The following is a 15,992-nucleotide window of genomic DNA, read 5'->3' on the forward strand; positions in this document are numbered from 1 at the left end:
GAAAAAATGTTTTAATTCTAAAAAAGAAATTAATAAAAAGGAAAATGTGAATCTAAGATTAGTGCATGAGAGCTGGAGACCCAGAGAGGGCAAACAGCATCAAGGTCAAAGTTGAGTGAGTCCTGGGTGAAAGTGTCTTTTCAGCCAGGGGAGATTTTCCATGCAGAAGGGACTGGGCATCAACTGTCAGGACATGGACAGAGACGTCTGCCATTAGAAGCTGGTCCTCTCATAGCCCACCAGCATCCCCCAGGAGGACACTGGCTTCCTCAAGGTCACAGCCTTTGGTTTCTGGAAAAAATGATTAAGCAGTGAAAGGATTAAGGTCTCACAGCTCCTATCGCATGATGTATAGATGCAGAGGTTTCTCATCATCTTCTTTTTATATTTTAAAAGATGGATGACAACTAGATGCCAACTGCAGCTCAGGCACCTGCCCAGTCCCTCTCAGAGCCGGGCACAAAACAGACACCTGTCTAGCCCCTCACAGAGAGCCAGGCACAAAACAGACACCTGTCCAGCCCCTCACAGAGAGCCAGGCACAAAGCGGAGACTTGTCCAGCTCCTGGCAAGGAGCCAGGCACAAAAGAGATGCCCATGAGTGTAAATGAATCTGTGAAACAGGCAGAACAGGAGCATCAACTGAGTAATTGTTTTTTCTTTTTCAAATAAGAACATTTGCGTTGAGAAGCCGCCACGGGAAGAGATGTGATGAAACACTACACAGAAAGAGGGAGGAGCCTCCGGGTAGGTTGGAGTGAGTAGGATGTAGGGTAGCCGGCAGGGGAGAAGAGGGGCAACCTTCTGTTCCGTAATATTGATACCACCCATTTGTGTGTCCAATTTTTGCTGGTTTGTGACGTCCTTCTAGGGTCCATGAGTAACCCCCACCCCATTGCCTAGCTGGGTGCCTGACTCCCCTTAAGTGCTCAGTAGACGTTGAACTGGACGGGCGCTGGCGTGGTGGCTCACGCCTGTAATCCCAGCAATTTGGGAGGCCGAAGCGAGTGGATCATCTCAGGTTCGGAGTTCGAGACCAGCCTGGCCAACATGGTGAAACCTTGTCTCTGCTAAAATTACAAAAATTAGCTGGGCGTGGTGGCGCGCGCCTGTGATCCCAGCTACTCCGGAGGCTGAGGCAGGAGAATCGCTTGAACCAGGCAGGCGGAGGTTGCAGTGAGCCATGATCGGGCCACTGCACTCCAGCCTGGGTGACAGAGTGAAACTTCATCTCTAAATAAATAAATAAATAAATAAATAAATAAATAAATAAAATAAACTTTGAACTGAACAGGGGCAGCTCTTACATCTGTCCAGTCTCGGGTTTATGCAGATAGAACAAGATAACCACATCCCACATGGGAGGCCAGTGTCCACTTGCTCCTTTGGAGGAACTACTGGGCATTTAAGGGACTCGTTGAACACACTCTGTAGGTCAACTCTGCCCGGAGTGGAGGGAGCTGCGCAGACCGCTGGCCCTCTGCACGGGTTTGCAACTCGGCTTCTGGAAACAGCGGGAGACGTCGAAGGAGGCGAGAAGGTGCGCGCGCCCTTCTCACCAGGCCGGCGGATGCTGGGTGGTACCCAAAGAGGCGCTCAGATCACTGGAGCTGGAGCTCAGTCGGCGGTCTTCTGCGGGAACTGCACCTATCCCGGAGCATCTCTGGCCCTCCTATTTCACTGAACTCGCCTTCCTCAGCAGGAAAGTGGGAAGACCGCTTGCTTCCAGGACGGTGTGGGGAAGGGTAAGAGGGCTCAGGGAAAGACCGTGGAAAGCTCGGCGCACAAGCGAGCTGGCATCACCGGGGATTCCCTCCGGCCCGGTGGGACTCCGGCGCGCTTGTAGCGAGGACCCCCAGCCCAGGGCAGAGCCTACCCTCCGCTCCCCCAGTCTGGGCCCTTGGCGGCCGCAGTCGCCCAAGCCCGCCCCGCCTCCGCGCGCGGCCCTCTCCGGCTCAGTGCCCTGCGCTGCCGGGAAGCAGGCTGAGGGGCGCACCGGGCGGCGGGCGGGGACCTGGGGAAGGCCGGGAGCGCCGGGACCGAGGACGCACGCGGCGGGCCGGGCCGCGCGCGCCTCCCCCCTCCCCCGAGGCCCGAGCGCGAGCCGCCGTGACGTCACGGGCAACCCGCCAGCCCCGCGCTCCTCCGGGCAGAGCGCGTGTGGCGGCCGAGCACATGGGCCCGCGGGCCGGGCGGGCTCGGGGCGGCCGGGACGAGGAGGGGCGACGACGAGCTGCGAGCAAAGATGTGCCCCGGGACCCCCGGCACCTTCCAGTGGATTTCCTTGCGGAAAGGATGTTGGCGGTCCCTGTGACCTGTGGAGACACGGCCAGATCTGCCCTCCAGTAAGTTCCAATTTTGTCCCCTGCGTTTCTGGAAACTCTCGAGACTTGGCCCTGAGTAGGGATGCGCTGTGAGTAGTCGGACGGAGGAAAGGGGCTTTCGGAATCCAATATGTGTGTGCTAGGCGTGCACTGTCCTCATCACCAGCCTCAAGACTGGTGGCGAGTTTGGGCGTTTGGGGAGGGTGAGGGGAGGGGGATGACACCGAATGGCCGGTGCATAGAGGCAATTCTGGATTTATGAACTTGATCAAAGGCATATTAACTAATTTCTAAAAATAGACCCCTCTGCAGTCAGAACAGATTTGGAGCCATGATGTGGTTTGGAGGCCCCTCTGGCGAAACTAGAGGTCTGTGAATGTGTGATCCTCCCTCCATCCTTTGACCATCACTCCCCGCTTCCTCTCACACCCCCTCAGGGCTGGGCGAAGGTGATTTCCAAAAACTCAGTAACTCCGTGTTTTGAGACTTTCTCAGTTTTTGCATCGCATGTGAGGGTTTGTTGGGTGCTCCTAAACCCTCATCATGGTCATTCTTCTTGGCTGGGCTGTTGATTTAATTAGGTTTGCCTTCTCTTGCTAACGTGCTCTTATTTATGCCAGTGTTTGTGGTTCTGGGTGTAGACTTTCAGGAAGCACAGCCATGAAGCTGCATGCGTCTGTGTGTGGATGCCTCATGCCTTTTCCTGGTGGTTTGCAGGCATGGAAGATTCTTCTGTTCATCTAAGCTCCTGACTTTAGGCCCTTCTAGAACATTAGAGAGGAGAAGAAATCACGTGCAAGGATTTAGGGACAAGAGGATGAGGTTTTGGTGTTTCCTTTCTGGTATTAGGTTTTCCAGAGAGAGGCTGTTAGCCTGTCTCTCGCCCACTCCACCACTGTGAATCCTGGCTACTGGGGCTAGTTCCTTGCTAGGAAAAAAAAACTCTAGAGAAATGTGTTTGTGTGTGGTGGGTGGGCGGGGGCCCTGAGGATGCAGGGACTGTGTCTGCTGTGTTGTCTGTTATAAGATGTTTCAGACCTATTTTGCATACTGGCAGCGACAAGTTGAGACTTGTTCAACTTGACACAGTCCTGTGGTCATAGCGAATCTTTCTAAAGCTCTGATCAGTCAAGAAGGGGGTTGTATCAATCCTCAGAACCCTGAGTGGAACTTTCTACAGGATTTATTAGGAGAAAAACCTTCCCGGAAGCTGCAGAAGGACAAATACAGAATCCGTGTCTGGGAGAAACCTCGTGGCCTGGTCTCCATTATTTGAGATGAGTTACATCTTGGAGGTGAGGACGTGCCTCGTGGTCTAAAGCTTCGGCACAAGGGCCCAACTGGAATTCCACTTACGGGTATGACTGTGGGGTATATGCTGTACCCATTGAATTCCCAGAGGGATTTGTTAAGTGGTTGTGTTGCTGTTTTGCCTGGTTAAGAGTGGCTTATTCTTGTTGCCTCATCTATCTTGAGTGCAGAATTTTTGCATAAACGGCTTCTCTTGAAAAATAGAAGTCCGTTTTTGTTTTGTTTTGTTTTTTTTCTGATTAACTTTCCTTTTCCTCTGTCTTAAACACCTTCCCCCGCCCCTCGCCACCTCCATGCTGTGTTTCTGTGGCTGGAGCTTTTCTGCACTGGAAAGGAGGAGTTCTCCCCTCTGTTCTGACATATCTGATCCCCACTAGTTTATATGATTGCTGGTCTGAAAACCTGGTGAATTCTCACTGCCCACATCAAATCAATTCCCTGTTCTTTAGTTGTTTTTTTTTTCCGCCTCCTGAGCGGTAGGCAGGCACTCTGGCTGGATTCTGGAGCCTGTGTTTGCCATGCCTGGGCCTTCTGCCTGCCCAAGATGGACACGTTTCTCTGGCAGCTTTGTCAAGAGATCTCCTGGACTATAAGACACCCTGTTCTTTCCTCCTGTTTGTGTGAGTGGCCCTGCATTTGGGCAGAGTATTGGCAGAATATCTGGGGGAAGTGGAAGACTTTGGATAGTTGCCGGTCCAGGTCGTCTGGAGAGGCAGTGGCAGGCCTGCTGATGGCTGCCCCTTTGCTATTTGTTTTATATCAGGTGGCCCTTCTGGATGTGTGGCCTTTTTATTTTGCATTTCCTTTCATAGTTGGCTGCAGACATAAGATTCTTCTTTTTCTCTTGTTTTGCTTTTTTTTTTTTTTTTTTGAGACAGAGTTTCACTCTTGTTGCCCAGGCTGGAGTAAAATGGCTGGATTTCAGCTCACTGCAACTTCCGCCTCCCAGGTTCAAGCGATTCTCCTGCCTCAGCCTCCCAAGTAGCTAGGATTACAGGCATGCATCACCACACCCAGCTAATTTTGTATTTTTAGTAGAGACGGAGTTTCTCCAGATTGGTCAGGCTGGTCTTGAACTCCCAGCCTCAGGTGATCCGCCCGCCTTGGCCTCCCAAAATGCTGGGAGGCCTCCCAAGTTGCTGGGATTACAGGCATGGACCACCATGCCTGGCTAATTTTGTATTTTTAGTAGAGACGGAGTTTCTCCAGATTGGTCAAGCTGGTCTCGAACATCTGACCTCAGGTGATCTGCCCTCCTCGGCCTCCCAAAGTACTGGGATTACAGGTGCCACAGTACCCGGCCTTGTTTTGCTTTTTATTGTTTCCTGATGCAGGTTTGTGATCTCTTTGAGGGATCAGGACCACACCCCCCACCCCAATTTATATTCCCAGTGTCCATGGTGGGACCCTGACTGAGGATGGGAACAGAGCAACAATCTGGAATCATTTGGACCATTGAGTCCTGTGGACAGTCACTTCAATATCATCCCTAGAGAGTCTCAGAAATTCAAGGCCTTTTGGAATGCTGCCAAAATGGGTCCTTTGGCAGGAGCCCCCTTTGTCTCTTCTGTTTTCTGACCTCAAATAATCTAAGGAACTAATAACGGTAATAAATAACAATTAATAATAAGAACAATAATAGTGCATGTATAACATGGACATTGTTTATCACGCAAAGCATGTTCTTCACCTTCTACTCCCTACAACTCCATGAGGCATTTATAATGAAATGTCTAGCAATGGTAGACTTCTTGTTGTGGGGCAGGGTTGGTTCTAACACTTCAAATTATATGATCTCATTTAACTTTCCTATAAAATAGGATGATTATTGTTGTGGTTTTGCAGATGAGGAACCCACAGCCCAGAGAGGTTAAAAATATCCTCCCAGGTCACACAGCTTGGGAGAGGCAGAGCTGTAGAGATTTGGACCACAGTCTTCGACTTCTTAGTGTGACTCTCAGAAGTTAGAGGATAATGAGGTTAAGAACAAGCAAAGGGCCGGGCGCGGTGGCTCACACCTGTAATCCCAGCACTTTGGGAGGCTGAGGCAGGTGGATCACCTGAGGTCAGGAGTTCGAGACCAGCCTGGCCAACATGGTGAAACCCGGTCTCTACTACAAATACAAAAAATTAGCCGGGCATGGTGGCGCACACTTGTAATTCCAGCTACTTGGGAGTCTGAGGCAGGAGAATTGCTTGAACCCGGGAGGCGGAGGTTGCCGGGAGCCGAGATCGCACCATTGTATTCCAGCCTGGGCAACAAGAGCAAAACTCAGTCTCAAAAAAAAAACAACAAGAAAAGGGTATACCCCTTGGCCTTGAGCAGGAGAACACAGTGTGTCCCCCACCCTCACCGTGCACCTTAGGCACAAACAGAAAGCTGAACATCTTGCATGAAGATACCTCATGCTCTGCCTGCCGACCTTTTCTGCAGCCACGGAGCAGTCAGAGACAAAGGGGCCAAGAGGCCTTAGGTGAGGGCTGCCATGCTGGAAAGTTTGGGCTGTGGGTGTGGGCAGGAGTCATGGGTAGAGGTCAGAACCCTTAGTCTTGGCTGGGTGCAGTAGCTCACACCCGTAATCCCAGCACTTTGGGAGGCTGAGGCCGGTAGATTACCTGAGGTCAGGAGTTCAAGACCAGCCTGGCCAGCATGGTGAAACCCTGTCTCTACTAAAAATACAAAAAAAAAAAAAAAAAAAAAATTAGCCCGGCGTGGTGGCACACGCCTGTAGTCCTAGCTACTCGGGAGGCTGAGGTAGGAAGATCTCTTGAACCCGGGAGACGGAGTTTGCAGTGAGCTGAGATTGCCAGTGCACTCCTGCCTGGGAGATAGAGTAAGACTTTGTCTCAAAAAACAAACAACCGCCTCGGTCTTTGTGCAAAATCTATAATCATTTGCAAGAGGCTGCAATCAGGTATAGCACTGGATTTTGTGACCAAAACTAGGTTTCAGGATTTAATTAAAAACAAAAACAATGTCAGGTCATAAAACACAAGACATATACATGATGTGGAAATGGTCTTATTCATTTTTTAATTGCGAAATTCCGAACTATCTGTTTTTTTTTTCCTTTATCTTTTCCTTTTTGTGTGTGTGTGGAGTTAGGTGGGGGGGGAGGTATGGCATATTGTTTTGTTTATCTGCCTCTTTATTATCACTGACTGTGAAATTCTTGAGAACAGGGGCGTCTAAGTGCCCAACACAGCCCTGGTACTTTGTTGAATCAGGTGGCTGTCAAGAGCTGCTGCTTCAGCCCGGCATGGTGGCTTATGCCTATAATTTTTGCACTTTGAGAGGCTGAGGCAGGAGGATTGCTTGAGCTGAGAAGTTTGAGACCAGCCTGGGCAGCAGAGTGAGACTCTGTCTCTGTAAAAAATAATAAAATAAAAATTAAAAAATAAAGAAAGAACTGCTTTGTCTTCAAGGAAACAAGATACACAGTCAACAGTCATTATCTTTTTAGATATGAGACAGCTTGACATGGTGTGGAAGTGGGGGGCTTGCCTGTAGGGAAAGTATGCTGATGAAAAAGAAGGAAAACAGACAGTAGCAGGAGGCAGTGGGGATGTGTCAGGGAGCTGAGGAGTGTAGATCTGGTTACTTTTGGGCAAGTTACTTCTCTAAGCTTCAGTTTCCTCATCTATAAAATGGTTTGCTGTGATGACGAAAGAGATGATGAACAGAATGTGTCTGGCAGAGGACCTGGGCTCATAAGTGAGCACACAGTAAAAGGTAGCTAATATCATTACTGTTCCAATTATTGAGCTTTATTACTTCCTGTGGCTGCATGAAGTAGTGGTTTCTGAATAGAAAGGCAACATTCTAGTTGCCTAGATCTTAAGATGGCAGTGACTTCACTGTAGTTCTCTGCAAGCATCAGAAACAAGCCCTGGCTTATGTAAGTTAGAAACAGATGAGAAAGTAAATAAAGCTGCAGAAGTGGGTCTCAGGAAGGACAGGAATCAAAGGGCTGTCCCTCGGATGTCAGACTGCCTTTGCAAGTTACTTCAGGTCACTGTGCCTCCATTTCCTCAGCTGCTGAGCAGGGGAGGAGAATCACTTCTCCCTCCCTGGGATGGTGCAGAGCACTTAGCAGAGCACTTAGCACAGAGGAATAAGCCCTTCAGTAAAACATTTGAGTAAAGCAATTATTATTTATTATTCTTCAGGGCTCTTTTTTTTTCTGGTGCATTAGCCCTAACATTGACTACTTGGTTCAAGAGTGATGGATGCATTCATTTCCTGAGCAGTTGCTGTATGCCTGGCACCGTTTTAGCTGCTGGCGATCCAGCAGGGAGCAGAAGAGACAAAAATCCCTGCCCTCCTGAAGCTTCTGTCCTAGTGGATGTCACACAGTAGTGGGGCAGGCTGGTCCCCAGAGACAGCTGGGGGACAGATGGAGGCAGTGCAGGCAAAAGCTAACTCCTGTGCAAAGTCTCCCCGGCCCCACTGTGTTAACAGTAAAGTGCTTAGCAGAGGCTCCCACACATAGTAGTTACTATGTAGTGGTAGTTGCTATGTTTATTATTATTATATTATTCTCCTCCCTCATAAAATGGCAGCCTCCCTTTCTTCCATTCCCCTTCCTGAGTTATTTTTTCTCGATAGGGCTTATCTTCCTAGTATACCATATGTCTCTCTTCTCCCACTAAATTGTAACCCATTCATTTTTCCAGGATATATTTGTTGGGTGTCTACTCTGTGCCTGGCATTGCTGTAGATGTTGGGGATGCAGAAAGGAAGAAAAAGGACAGATTTCCATGCTAGAGCTTAGGTTACAGCTGGGTTAGACAGATAAGGAACAGCAGACATAATAAAGAAGGACATGAATTGTGTATTCAAGATTATGAAGTGCTGTGGGAACAGGCCTAGCAGGGTCAGTGTCTGGAGGGCTGGGGCGTGGTGCTGTGTGGTTAAGTTGTCCGGTCAGAGTCAGGGCAGGCTCCATGGAGGAGCTGACGTTAACCTCCACCTGAAGTAGGGGAAGGACAGGCGTTTCAGGCTCTGGGAAGAGCTAGGACAGAGGTGGAGGCAGAAGTGAGCCTGTGGGGGTGAGGAGCAGCCAGGAGAAGCGTGAGATGAGAATGGCGTGAGCAAGGGAGGTAGGAGAACCCGAGCAGCATGCAGTGTGCAGCCTCACAGAGAGCCTGCAGGGCATTCCAAAGATTCTGTCTTTTACTCTGTAAAATGGGGAGCCCTTGCGGTGTTTTTTGTTTTTGTTTTTTGTTTGTTATGAGGCAGAGTCTTGCTCTGTTGCCCAGGCTGGAGTGCAGTGGGGAGATCTTGGTTCACTGCAACCTCTGCCTCCTGGGTTTAAGCAATCCTTACACCTCAGCCTCCTGAGTAGCTGGGATTACAGGTGCGTGCCACCACGCCTGGCTAATGTTTTTATTTTTGTAGAGATGGGGTTTCACCATGTTGGCCAGGCAGGTCTCAAACTCCTGAACTCAAGTGATCCACCCACCTCAGCCTCCCAAAGTGTTGGGATTACAGGTGTGAACCACTGTGACTGGCTTCCTTGCAGTGTTCTAAAAAGGAAAGTAATTTGATCTGACTTGGCTTTTGAAACGGTCAGTCTGGCTGCTGTGTTGAGAAGAAACTAAATCAGGGTCAGGAGCTAGAGCACCAGGACAAACATGCACAGAGCGTTAAGTGCCAGGTCCAGGCTGGCAGTGGTGGATGGGGCCACAGGAATGGACTTCTAGGCTGTTCACTGTTGTATCCCCAGCATCTTAAACTGTGCTCTCCATATGGTAGCTGTGAGCCCTATGTGGGTATTGAGCACTTGAAAGGAAATTGATATGTACTGTGTGTTAAACACACATTGGATTTCAGAGACTTAGTGAGAAGAGTAAGATATCTCATTATTTATTTATTTATTTATTTATTTATTTATTTATTTATTTACTGAGACAGAGTCTCACCTGTTGCCCAGCCTGGAGTGCAGTGGCATGATCTCGGCTCATTGCAACTTCCGCCTCCCGGGTTCAAGCGATTCTCCTGCCTCAGCCTCCCAAGTAGCTGGGATTACAGGTGCCCACCACCACACCTGGCTAATTTTGTATTTTTAGTAGATATGGGGTTTCACTATGTTGGCCAGGCTGGTCTTGAACTTCTGACCTCAGGTGATCCATCCCACTCAGCTTTCCAAAGTGCTGGAATTACAGGTGTGAGCCACTGCACCAGGCCTATTTGTTTATTTATATGAGACACGGTCTCACTCTGTCACCCAGGCTGGAATGCAGTGATGTGTTCATAGATCATTATAGCCTCGACCTCCCAGGCTCAGGTGATCCTCCCACCTCAGCCTCCTGGGCAGCTGGGACCACAGGTCTGTGTCACCACGCCCAGCTAATTTTTTTGTATTTTTGGTAAAGCTGGGGTCTCCCTGTGTTGCCCAGGCTGGTCTTGAGCTCCTGGGCTCCAGCAATCTGCCTTCCTCAGCCTCCTATAGTTCTAGGGTTACAGGCGTGAGCCACTGCACCCTGCCAAGTTATCTCATGAACCAATTCTTTGATGTTAATTACATATTGAACTGATAATGTTTTGGATATATTGGGTTAAATTATTAAAATTAATTTCATCTGTTTTTTCTAACTTTATGGCTACTAGAAAATCTAAAATTACATGTGGGTTGAATCATATTTTCGCTGGATGGAACAATGCCTTGGACGAGGTCAGCATTTAGTGAATCAAATGTGTGGGTGAGGCACAGGTGTTCTGCCGTGAATGAGAAACCGTTGCCATCTTCGGGAAGTTTCCAGTGTGGGAGGGAGGCACACTGCAGATGTAACTGCTAGGAGAGAAAGAAGGCAGGTTGAAATGGGACCACAGCCAACCAGGCCTGCTGTAGCCCAGAAGCTGGAAGAGACTCGCCCAGGAGGGAAGGAAGACACTGGGGTGTTGGGTCTCAGTCTGGGTCTTGGTGACAGCAGTGGGCTGGCAGTGCAGAGGTTCAAGGCCTTGGACTGCAAGTCCACTAAGGTGGCTGGTGGTGTGGGTGGAGGTGGAAAAGGCAGGTGGGGCGAGGGTGAGGGGCAGGACATCCTGGAGAGCCTGAATAACCAGGTATAAGTGATTTCTTTTTCTTTCTTTCTTTCTTTTTTTTTTTTTTTTTTTTTAAGACGGAGTCTCCTTCTGTCGCCCAGGCTGGAGTGCAGTGGCGAGATCTCGGCTCACTGCAAGCTCCGCCTCCCGGGTTCACGCCATTCTCCTGCCTCAGCCTCCCGAGTAGCTGGGACTACAGGCACCCGCCCACCACGCCCGGCTAAGTTTTTGTATTTTTAGTAGAGACGAGGTTTCACCATGTTAGCCAGGATGGTTTCGATCTCCTGACCTCGTGATCCGCCCGCCTTGGCCTCCCAAAGTGCTGGGATTACAGGCGTGAGCCGCCGCGCCCAGCCCCAGGCGGAAATTATTTCAACTGGGTCCTGAGAACTGGGCACTTTTCAAGGATTGTCAGCAAGGAGCAACTTCCCAAATATACATCTAAAAAGATGACAAACTCATGTGGAATGTGGATTTAAGGAGGAAGGTACTTGACTTAAGAATTCCAGGATTTTGGTGGAAGAAGGAAATATGGGCCAGGCACTGTGGCTTATGCCTGTAATCCCATCACTTTGGGAGATAGAGGTGGGAGGATTAGTTGAGCCCATCTGAGACCAGCCTGGGCAACATAGTGAGATCCTGTCTCTACAGTTTTTTTTTTTTTTTGAGACGGAATCTTGCTCTGTCATCAAGGCTGGAGTGCAGTGGTGAGATCTCAGCTCACTGCAACCTCCGCCTCCTGGGTTCAAGCGATTCTCCTGCCTCAGCCTTCCGAGTAGCTGGAGTTACAGCCTTGTGCCACCATGCTTGGCTAATTTTTGTATTTTTAGCAGAGACGGGGTTTCACCATGTTGGTCAGGCTGATCTCGAACTCCTGACCTTGTGATCTGCCTGCCTCGGCCTCCCAAAGTGCTGGGATTACAGGCATGAGCCACTGCACCTGGCCTCAAAAATTCTTATTTTTAATTAACTGGGCTTGGTGGCATGTACCTGTAGTTCCATCTTTGGTGGCACGCACCTGTATTCCCATCTACTTGGGAGGCTGAGGCAGGAAGCTTGCTCGAACCCAGAAGTTTGAGGCTGCAGTGAGTTATGATTACACCACTGTACTCCAGTCTGGGTGACAGAATGAGACCCTGTCTCTAAAATAAATAAATAAATTTTTAAAAGCTGGGAGGTGGGGTTGGTAAATTCATAAAAAATAATATTTCTTGAGTTGAATACAAACAATACAATCACTGTTTTTTCTTTGCCTTGTTTTATTTTTACTTATTTATTTATTTTTGCAGACATTGGGCCTCACTCCTAGGCTGGTCTTTAACTCCCGGCTTCAAGTGACCCTCCCACTTTGGCCTCCCAAAGTGTTGAGATTACAGGTGTGAGCCACTGTGCCCAGGCTGTGGTTTTTTATTTTTTAATTTTTTATTTTTTTGTATTATAATCATAGTGTATATGTTGCATCCTGATTTTTTTTTTTTTTTTTTTTGAGACAGCATCTCATTCTGTTATCCAGGCTGGAGTGCAGTGGCACAATCTCAGCTCACTGCAACCTCTACCTCCCAGGTTCAAGCGATTCTTCTGCCTTGGCCTCCGAGTAGCTGGGATGCCACCGTGCCCGGCTAAATTTTTTTTCTTTCTTTCTTTTTCTTTTTTTTTTTGTATTTTTAGTTCAGACAGGGTTTCACCATGTTGGCCAGGCTGGTCTTGAACTCCTGACCTCAAGTGATCCCACCTCGGCTTCCCAAAGTGCTGGGATTACAGCGTGAGCCACCACATCTGGACACATCCTGATTTTTTTCTTAGTTGCTATTAGGACACAGGCATTTTTGAATATTATATGCACTTTGTCCATGTCTTTTTTTTTTTTTTTTTTTTGAGACGGAGTTTCACTCTTGTTGCCCAGGCTGGAGGGCAATGGCGCGATCTCGGCTCACTGCAACCTCTGCCTCCCGGGTTCAAGTGATTCTCCTGCCTCAGCCTCCTGGGTAGCTGGCATTACAGGCGCTCACCACCACGCCCGGCTAATTTTGTGTTTTTAGTAGAGACGGGGTTTCTCCACGTTGGTCAGGCTGGTCTCGAACTCCTGACCTCAGGTGATCCACCCGCCTTGGCCTCCCAAAGTGCTGGGATTACAGGAGTGAGCCACTGTGCCCAGCCGTCCATGTCATTTTTATTGGGTAGATATTTCTGTTCAGTGACTGTTTCGTTGCTTACTTTATCATTCCTTTGATTTGGATGCTTAGCTTCATAACAGCCTGTTTATATAGATTATGTTTTCTATTTTTCAGTTAATTAAAAAAAAAACAAATTCTCAGTCCTAGGATTATTGTGCATAATGTCTGAATTTTTTAGAATTTCAGGTAAATATTGTGGTTCATGAGATTTGCACAGAAGCTGAATTTGCTGCTTTCTGGTGAGGCACGTGATGTTTTTTGCTGTCCGTGATGCACTAACATGTCATTAACATGTATGTACAGTGTTATATGCTCGCACATGTTTATGTGCAGCCTATGCACCTGTATTGGATTTTTCTTCACTCTCATTTATTGGCAGGTATTTGTGGAATGCCTGTGGTGTGCCAAGTTCTGCTTGAGGCCTTGGGTATTCAGTAGTGATCAAAGTAGATCAACTAGTACCAGTTCTTAAGAGGCTTATTGTTAAGTGGGGGAAACAAGCAAATAGACAAAGAAAAAATAACATTATTGTAAGGAATATGAAATAATATGTACTAGAATAATATGAAGGGATGGTTATTGTGAGGTAAGGGGGTTCATACTGAAATACTGTCTGAGGAATCAGGATTTGAGTGAGACACGAAGACTCAGTAGAAGTTAACCAGAAGAACAAAGTGTTAGCAGAAAAGACAAGATTGATCAATATGACTACATATTAAAGAAAAAGGCACATCTAAGCAACAAAAACTGCAATGGTATTAAAAGCCAAATACAAGACTTAGAAGATATTTGCAATATTTATAACACATTACAAAACACTAATATCTAGAATGTATGCAGAATTCCCAAAAGTCAACAACAAAAAGACAAACAGCCTTATAGCAAAGTGGGTGAAAGATAGGACCATGCAGTGCTCATAGAAAGCAAAGTAGATGGCTGGGCACCGTGGCTCATGCCTATAATCCCAGCACTTTGGAAGGCTGAGGCGGGCGGATCACAAGGTCAGGCGTTCGAGACCATCCTGGCCAACATGGTAAAACCTCATTTCTACTAAAAATACAAAAATTAGCTGGGTGTGGTGGCGTGTGCCTGTAGTCCCAGCTACTTGGGAGGCTGAGGCAGGAGAATCGCTTGAACCTGGGAGGCATAGGTTGCAGTGAACCCAGATCTTGCCACTGCATGCCAGCCTGGACACAGAGAACGACTCCGTCTAAAAAATTAAAAAAAAAAGCAAAGTGGATGATAAATGTGAAAAGATTCTGAATTTTGCTAACAAAGTCAGGTTTTGGAGATCTAATTTCTAGTCAGTAAAATTCATCCTTTCTAGGATACAATGCTAAGAGTTTTGATAAATGCATAGAACTGTGTTACACTGTTGTGTAATTACCACAATCATGGCTTAGAACATTTCCATCGTTCACCCAGATTCCCTCCTGTCCCTTCACAGCCAGTCTCCTTCTCCACCCCCAGCTTTAACCAACCCCTGAGTTGTTTGCTGACCTTACAGTGTTGCCTTTTTCAGAGTGTCCTATAAATGGATTCATACAGTGTGTAGTCTCTCGGATTTGTCTTCTTTCACCTGGCATAATGCATTCGGGACCCTTCCATGTTGTTCTATGCATCAGGGGTTTGGTAGTTTTTATTGCTGACTGGGACTCTGTTGTATGGATATACCACTGTTTGTTTATCTGTTCTCCATTTGAAGAGCATCTGGGTGTTTCCACAAGATACATGTTTCATGCTTTACAACGTGCCAGAAATAGGATGTCTGACTCAAGTGTTGACAAGGCACAGGGTGTTCAGCAGCTCCGCTAGTGAGTGTGTGAGGTCACTTTAGAGACCACCTTGCCAGCAGGTAGTGAAATTGGAAACATGTGCAGCCCCGTTCCTAGGTAAGATTGAGAATTCACAGTTCGTGCTGTATGTTACTTAAGGATATTTAGAGATGAAAGTGAAGGTTTAAAAAATGGGCTGGAAAGATCTATATCAAACTCACTGTCATCATCTGGGGAGAGAAGGGGAGTGGGCTGATTGTGAAGGTCAAAGCCTACTTTAACTTTGCCTTTATTGCTTTTTTTAAATTCAATTAATTAATTTACTTGTGGGGACAGAATCTCACTCTGTCAAGGTTGCTGGAGTGTGAGTGGTGTGATCGTGGCTCACTGCAGCCTCTACTTTCCAGGCTCAAGTGATTCTCCTGCCTCAGCCTCCGGAGTAGCTGGGACTACAGGTGTGAGCCACCATGCCTGTATTTTTTGTAGAGATGAGATCTCACTATATTGCCCAGGCTGGTCTTGAACTCCTGGCCTCAAGCCATCCTCCTGCCCAGTTCTCCCAAAGTGCTGGGATTACAGGGAGGACCCAGTGTCTGGCCTATCTTTAATGCTTTTTTTGAAAAGAAGGTGGATACCTACACATATCACTTACACAGTTTGAAAATATGTAGAAAAGAAAAAAAGTTTGAAAATACATATGACAAGATGTTCATGGTTGTCAATTCTAGGTTCTTTGAATTTTTCTTTTTTTCTTTTTTTTTTTGAGACGGAGTCTCGCTCTGTCACCCAGGCTGGGAGTGCAGTGGCGCCATCTCGGCTCACCGCAAGCTCCGCCTCCCAGGTTCACGCCATTCTCCTGCCTCAGCCTCCCGAGTAGCTGGGACTACAGATGCCTGCTACCACGCCCGGTTAATTGTTTTGTATTTTTAGTAGAGACGGGGTTTCACTGTGTTAGCCAGGATGGTCTCGATCTCCTGACCTCATGAGCCACCCGCCTCAGCCTCCCACAGTGTTAGGATTACAGACGTGAGCCACCGGGCCCGGCTGAGACAGTCTTGCTCTGTCACCCAGGCTGGAATGTAGTGAAGCAATCTCGGTTCACTGCAACCTCCACCTCCTGGGTTCAAGCAATTCTGGTTCCTCAGCCTCCCGAGTATTTGGGACTTCAGGCACAACCCCCGTCTGGCTAATTTTTGTATTTTTTTTAGTAGAGACAGGGTTTCACCATGTTGGCCAGGCTGGTCTCAAACTCCTGACCTCTGGTGATCTACCTGCCTCAGCCTCCCAAAGTGCTGGGATTACAGGCGTGAGCCACGGCGTCCAGCCTGTTCTTTAAATTTCTTTCAAAACAGTTTAGGGA

At 47.9% G+C, this 15,992-nt stretch overlaps 1 long non-coding RNA gene and 1 other non-coding gene across 52 annotated transcripts in view, besides 14 other annotated features; both read left to right on the forward strand.

Moving 5' to 3' along the window:
• Window positions 545-1,115: an enhancer, noted in NCBI's record as "H3K4me1 hESC enhancer chr8:128805180-128805750 (GRCh37/hg19 assembly coordinates)". NCBI's record gives its function as "activates a minimal SCP1, AML or CMV promoter by ChIP-STARR-seq in naive H9 embryonic stem cells {active_cell/tissue: H9 hESC(naive)}" and the evidence as "EXISTENCE:reporter gene assay evidence [ECO:0000049][PMID:30033119]".
• Window positions 1,841-1,890: a silencer, noted in NCBI's record as "silent region_19531". NCBI's record gives its function as "represses an Ori minimal core promoter by ATAC-STARR-seq in GM12878 lymphoblastoid cells {active_cell/tissue: GM12878}" and the evidence as "EXISTENCE:reporter gene assay evidence [ECO:0000049][PMID:35858748]".
• Window positions 1,911-1,970: a silencer, noted in NCBI's record as "silent region_19532". NCBI's record gives its function as "represses an Ori minimal core promoter by ATAC-STARR-seq in GM12878 lymphoblastoid cells {active_cell/tissue: GM12878}" and the evidence as "EXISTENCE:reporter gene assay evidence [ECO:0000049][PMID:35858748]".
• Window positions 1,981-2,140: a silencer, noted in NCBI's record as "silent region_19533". NCBI's record gives its function as "represses an Ori minimal core promoter by ATAC-STARR-seq in GM12878 lymphoblastoid cells {active_cell/tissue: GM12878}" and the evidence as "EXISTENCE:reporter gene assay evidence [ECO:0000049][PMID:35858748]".
• PVT1 (Pvt1 oncogene) overlaps window positions 2,135-15,992 on the forward strand; it is a 306,733-nt gene continuing 292,875 nt past the window's right edge. For 43 of the 51 annotated variants that reach the window (NR_186119.1, NR_186137.1, NR_186145.1 and 40 more), the window contains exon 1: window positions 2,135-2,345. This is a non-coding gene — a long non-coding RNA (Pvt1 oncogene). Of the gene's footprint in view, window positions 2,346-3,504; window positions 3,683-15,992 lie in introns of all 51 variants that reach the window. The other 8 variants (NR_186146.1, NR_186126.1, NR_186120.1 and 5 more) reach the window with 2 other exon arrangements.
• Window positions 2,258-2,827: an enhancer, noted in NCBI's record as "NANOG-H3K27ac-H3K4me1 hESC enhancer chr8:128806893-128807462 (GRCh37/hg19 assembly coordinates)". NCBI's record gives its function as "activates a minimal SCP1, AML or CMV promoter by ChIP-STARR-seq in primed H9 embryonic stem cells {active_cell/tissue: H9 hESC(primed)}" and the evidence as "EXISTENCE:reporter gene assay evidence [ECO:0000049][PMID:30033119]".
• Window positions 2,828-3,399: an enhancer, noted in NCBI's record as "NANOG-H3K27ac-H3K4me1 hESC enhancer chr8:128807463-128808034 (GRCh37/hg19 assembly coordinates)". NCBI's record gives its function as "activates a minimal SCP1, AML or CMV promoter by ChIP-STARR-seq in primed H9 embryonic stem cells {active_cell/tissue: H9 hESC(primed)}" and the evidence as "EXISTENCE:reporter gene assay evidence [ECO:0000049][PMID:30033119]".
• Window positions 2,828-3,610: a biological region, named in NCBI's record as "NANOG-H3K27ac-H3K4me1 hESC enhancer GRCh37_chr8:128807463-128808034".
• Window positions 3,121-3,170: an enhancer, noted in NCBI's record as "active region_27947". NCBI's record gives its function as "activates an Ori minimal core promoter by ATAC-STARR-seq in GM12878 lymphoblastoid cells {active_cell/tissue: GM12878}" and the evidence as "EXISTENCE:reporter gene assay evidence [ECO:0000049][PMID:35858748]".
• Window positions 3,271-3,610: an enhancer, noted in NCBI's record as "active region_27948". NCBI's record gives its function as "activates an Ori minimal core promoter by ATAC-STARR-seq in GM12878 lymphoblastoid cells {active_cell/tissue: GM12878}" and the evidence as "EXISTENCE:reporter gene assay evidence [ECO:0000049][PMID:35858748]".
• MIR1204 (microRNA 1204) lies at window positions 3,573-3,639 on the forward strand. Its single transcript, NR_031609.1, has one exon. It is a non-coding gene; the product is annotated as a microRNA 1204 (primary transcript).
• Window positions 8,004-8,073: a silencer, noted in NCBI's record as "silent region_19534". NCBI's record gives its function as "represses an Ori minimal core promoter by ATAC-STARR-seq in GM12878 lymphoblastoid cells {active_cell/tissue: GM12878}" and the evidence as "EXISTENCE:reporter gene assay evidence [ECO:0000049][PMID:35858748]".
• Window positions 10,146-10,787: an enhancer, noted in NCBI's record as "H3K27ac-H3K4me1 hESC enhancer chr8:128814781-128815422 (GRCh37/hg19 assembly coordinates)". NCBI's record gives its function as "activates a minimal SCP1, AML or CMV promoter by ChIP-STARR-seq in naive H9 embryonic stem cells {active_cell/tissue: H9 hESC(naive)}" and the evidence as "EXISTENCE:reporter gene assay evidence [ECO:0000049][PMID:30033119]".
• Window positions 10,788-11,429: an enhancer, noted in NCBI's record as "H3K27ac-H3K4me1 hESC enhancer chr8:128815423-128816064 (GRCh37/hg19 assembly coordinates)". NCBI's record gives its function as "activates a minimal SCP1, AML or CMV promoter by ChIP-STARR-seq in primed H9 embryonic stem cells {active_cell/tissue: H9 hESC(primed)}" and the evidence as "EXISTENCE:reporter gene assay evidence [ECO:0000049][PMID:30033119]".
• Window positions 11,430-12,069: an enhancer, noted in NCBI's record as "H3K27ac hESC enhancer chr8:128816065-128816704 (GRCh37/hg19 assembly coordinates)". NCBI's record gives its function as "activates a minimal SCP1, AML or CMV promoter by ChIP-STARR-seq in primed H9 embryonic stem cells {active_cell/tissue: H9 hESC(primed)}" and the evidence as "EXISTENCE:reporter gene assay evidence [ECO:0000049][PMID:30033119]".
• Window positions 14,474-14,768: an enhancer, noted in NCBI's record as "tiled region #14038; K562 Activating DNase unmatched - State 8:EnhW". NCBI's record gives its function as "activates a minimal TATA promoter and a strong SV40 promoter by Sharpr-MPRA in K562 cells {active_cell/tissue: K562}" and the evidence as "EXISTENCE:reporter gene assay evidence [ECO:0000049][PMID:27701403]".

The sequence above is a fragment of the Homo sapiens genome, chromosome 8 (assembly GCF_000001405.40).
Source record: "Homo sapiens chromosome 8, GRCh38.p14 Primary Assembly".
Lineage (NCBI taxonomy): Eukaryota > Metazoa > Chordata > Mammalia > Primates > Hominidae > Homo > Homo sapiens.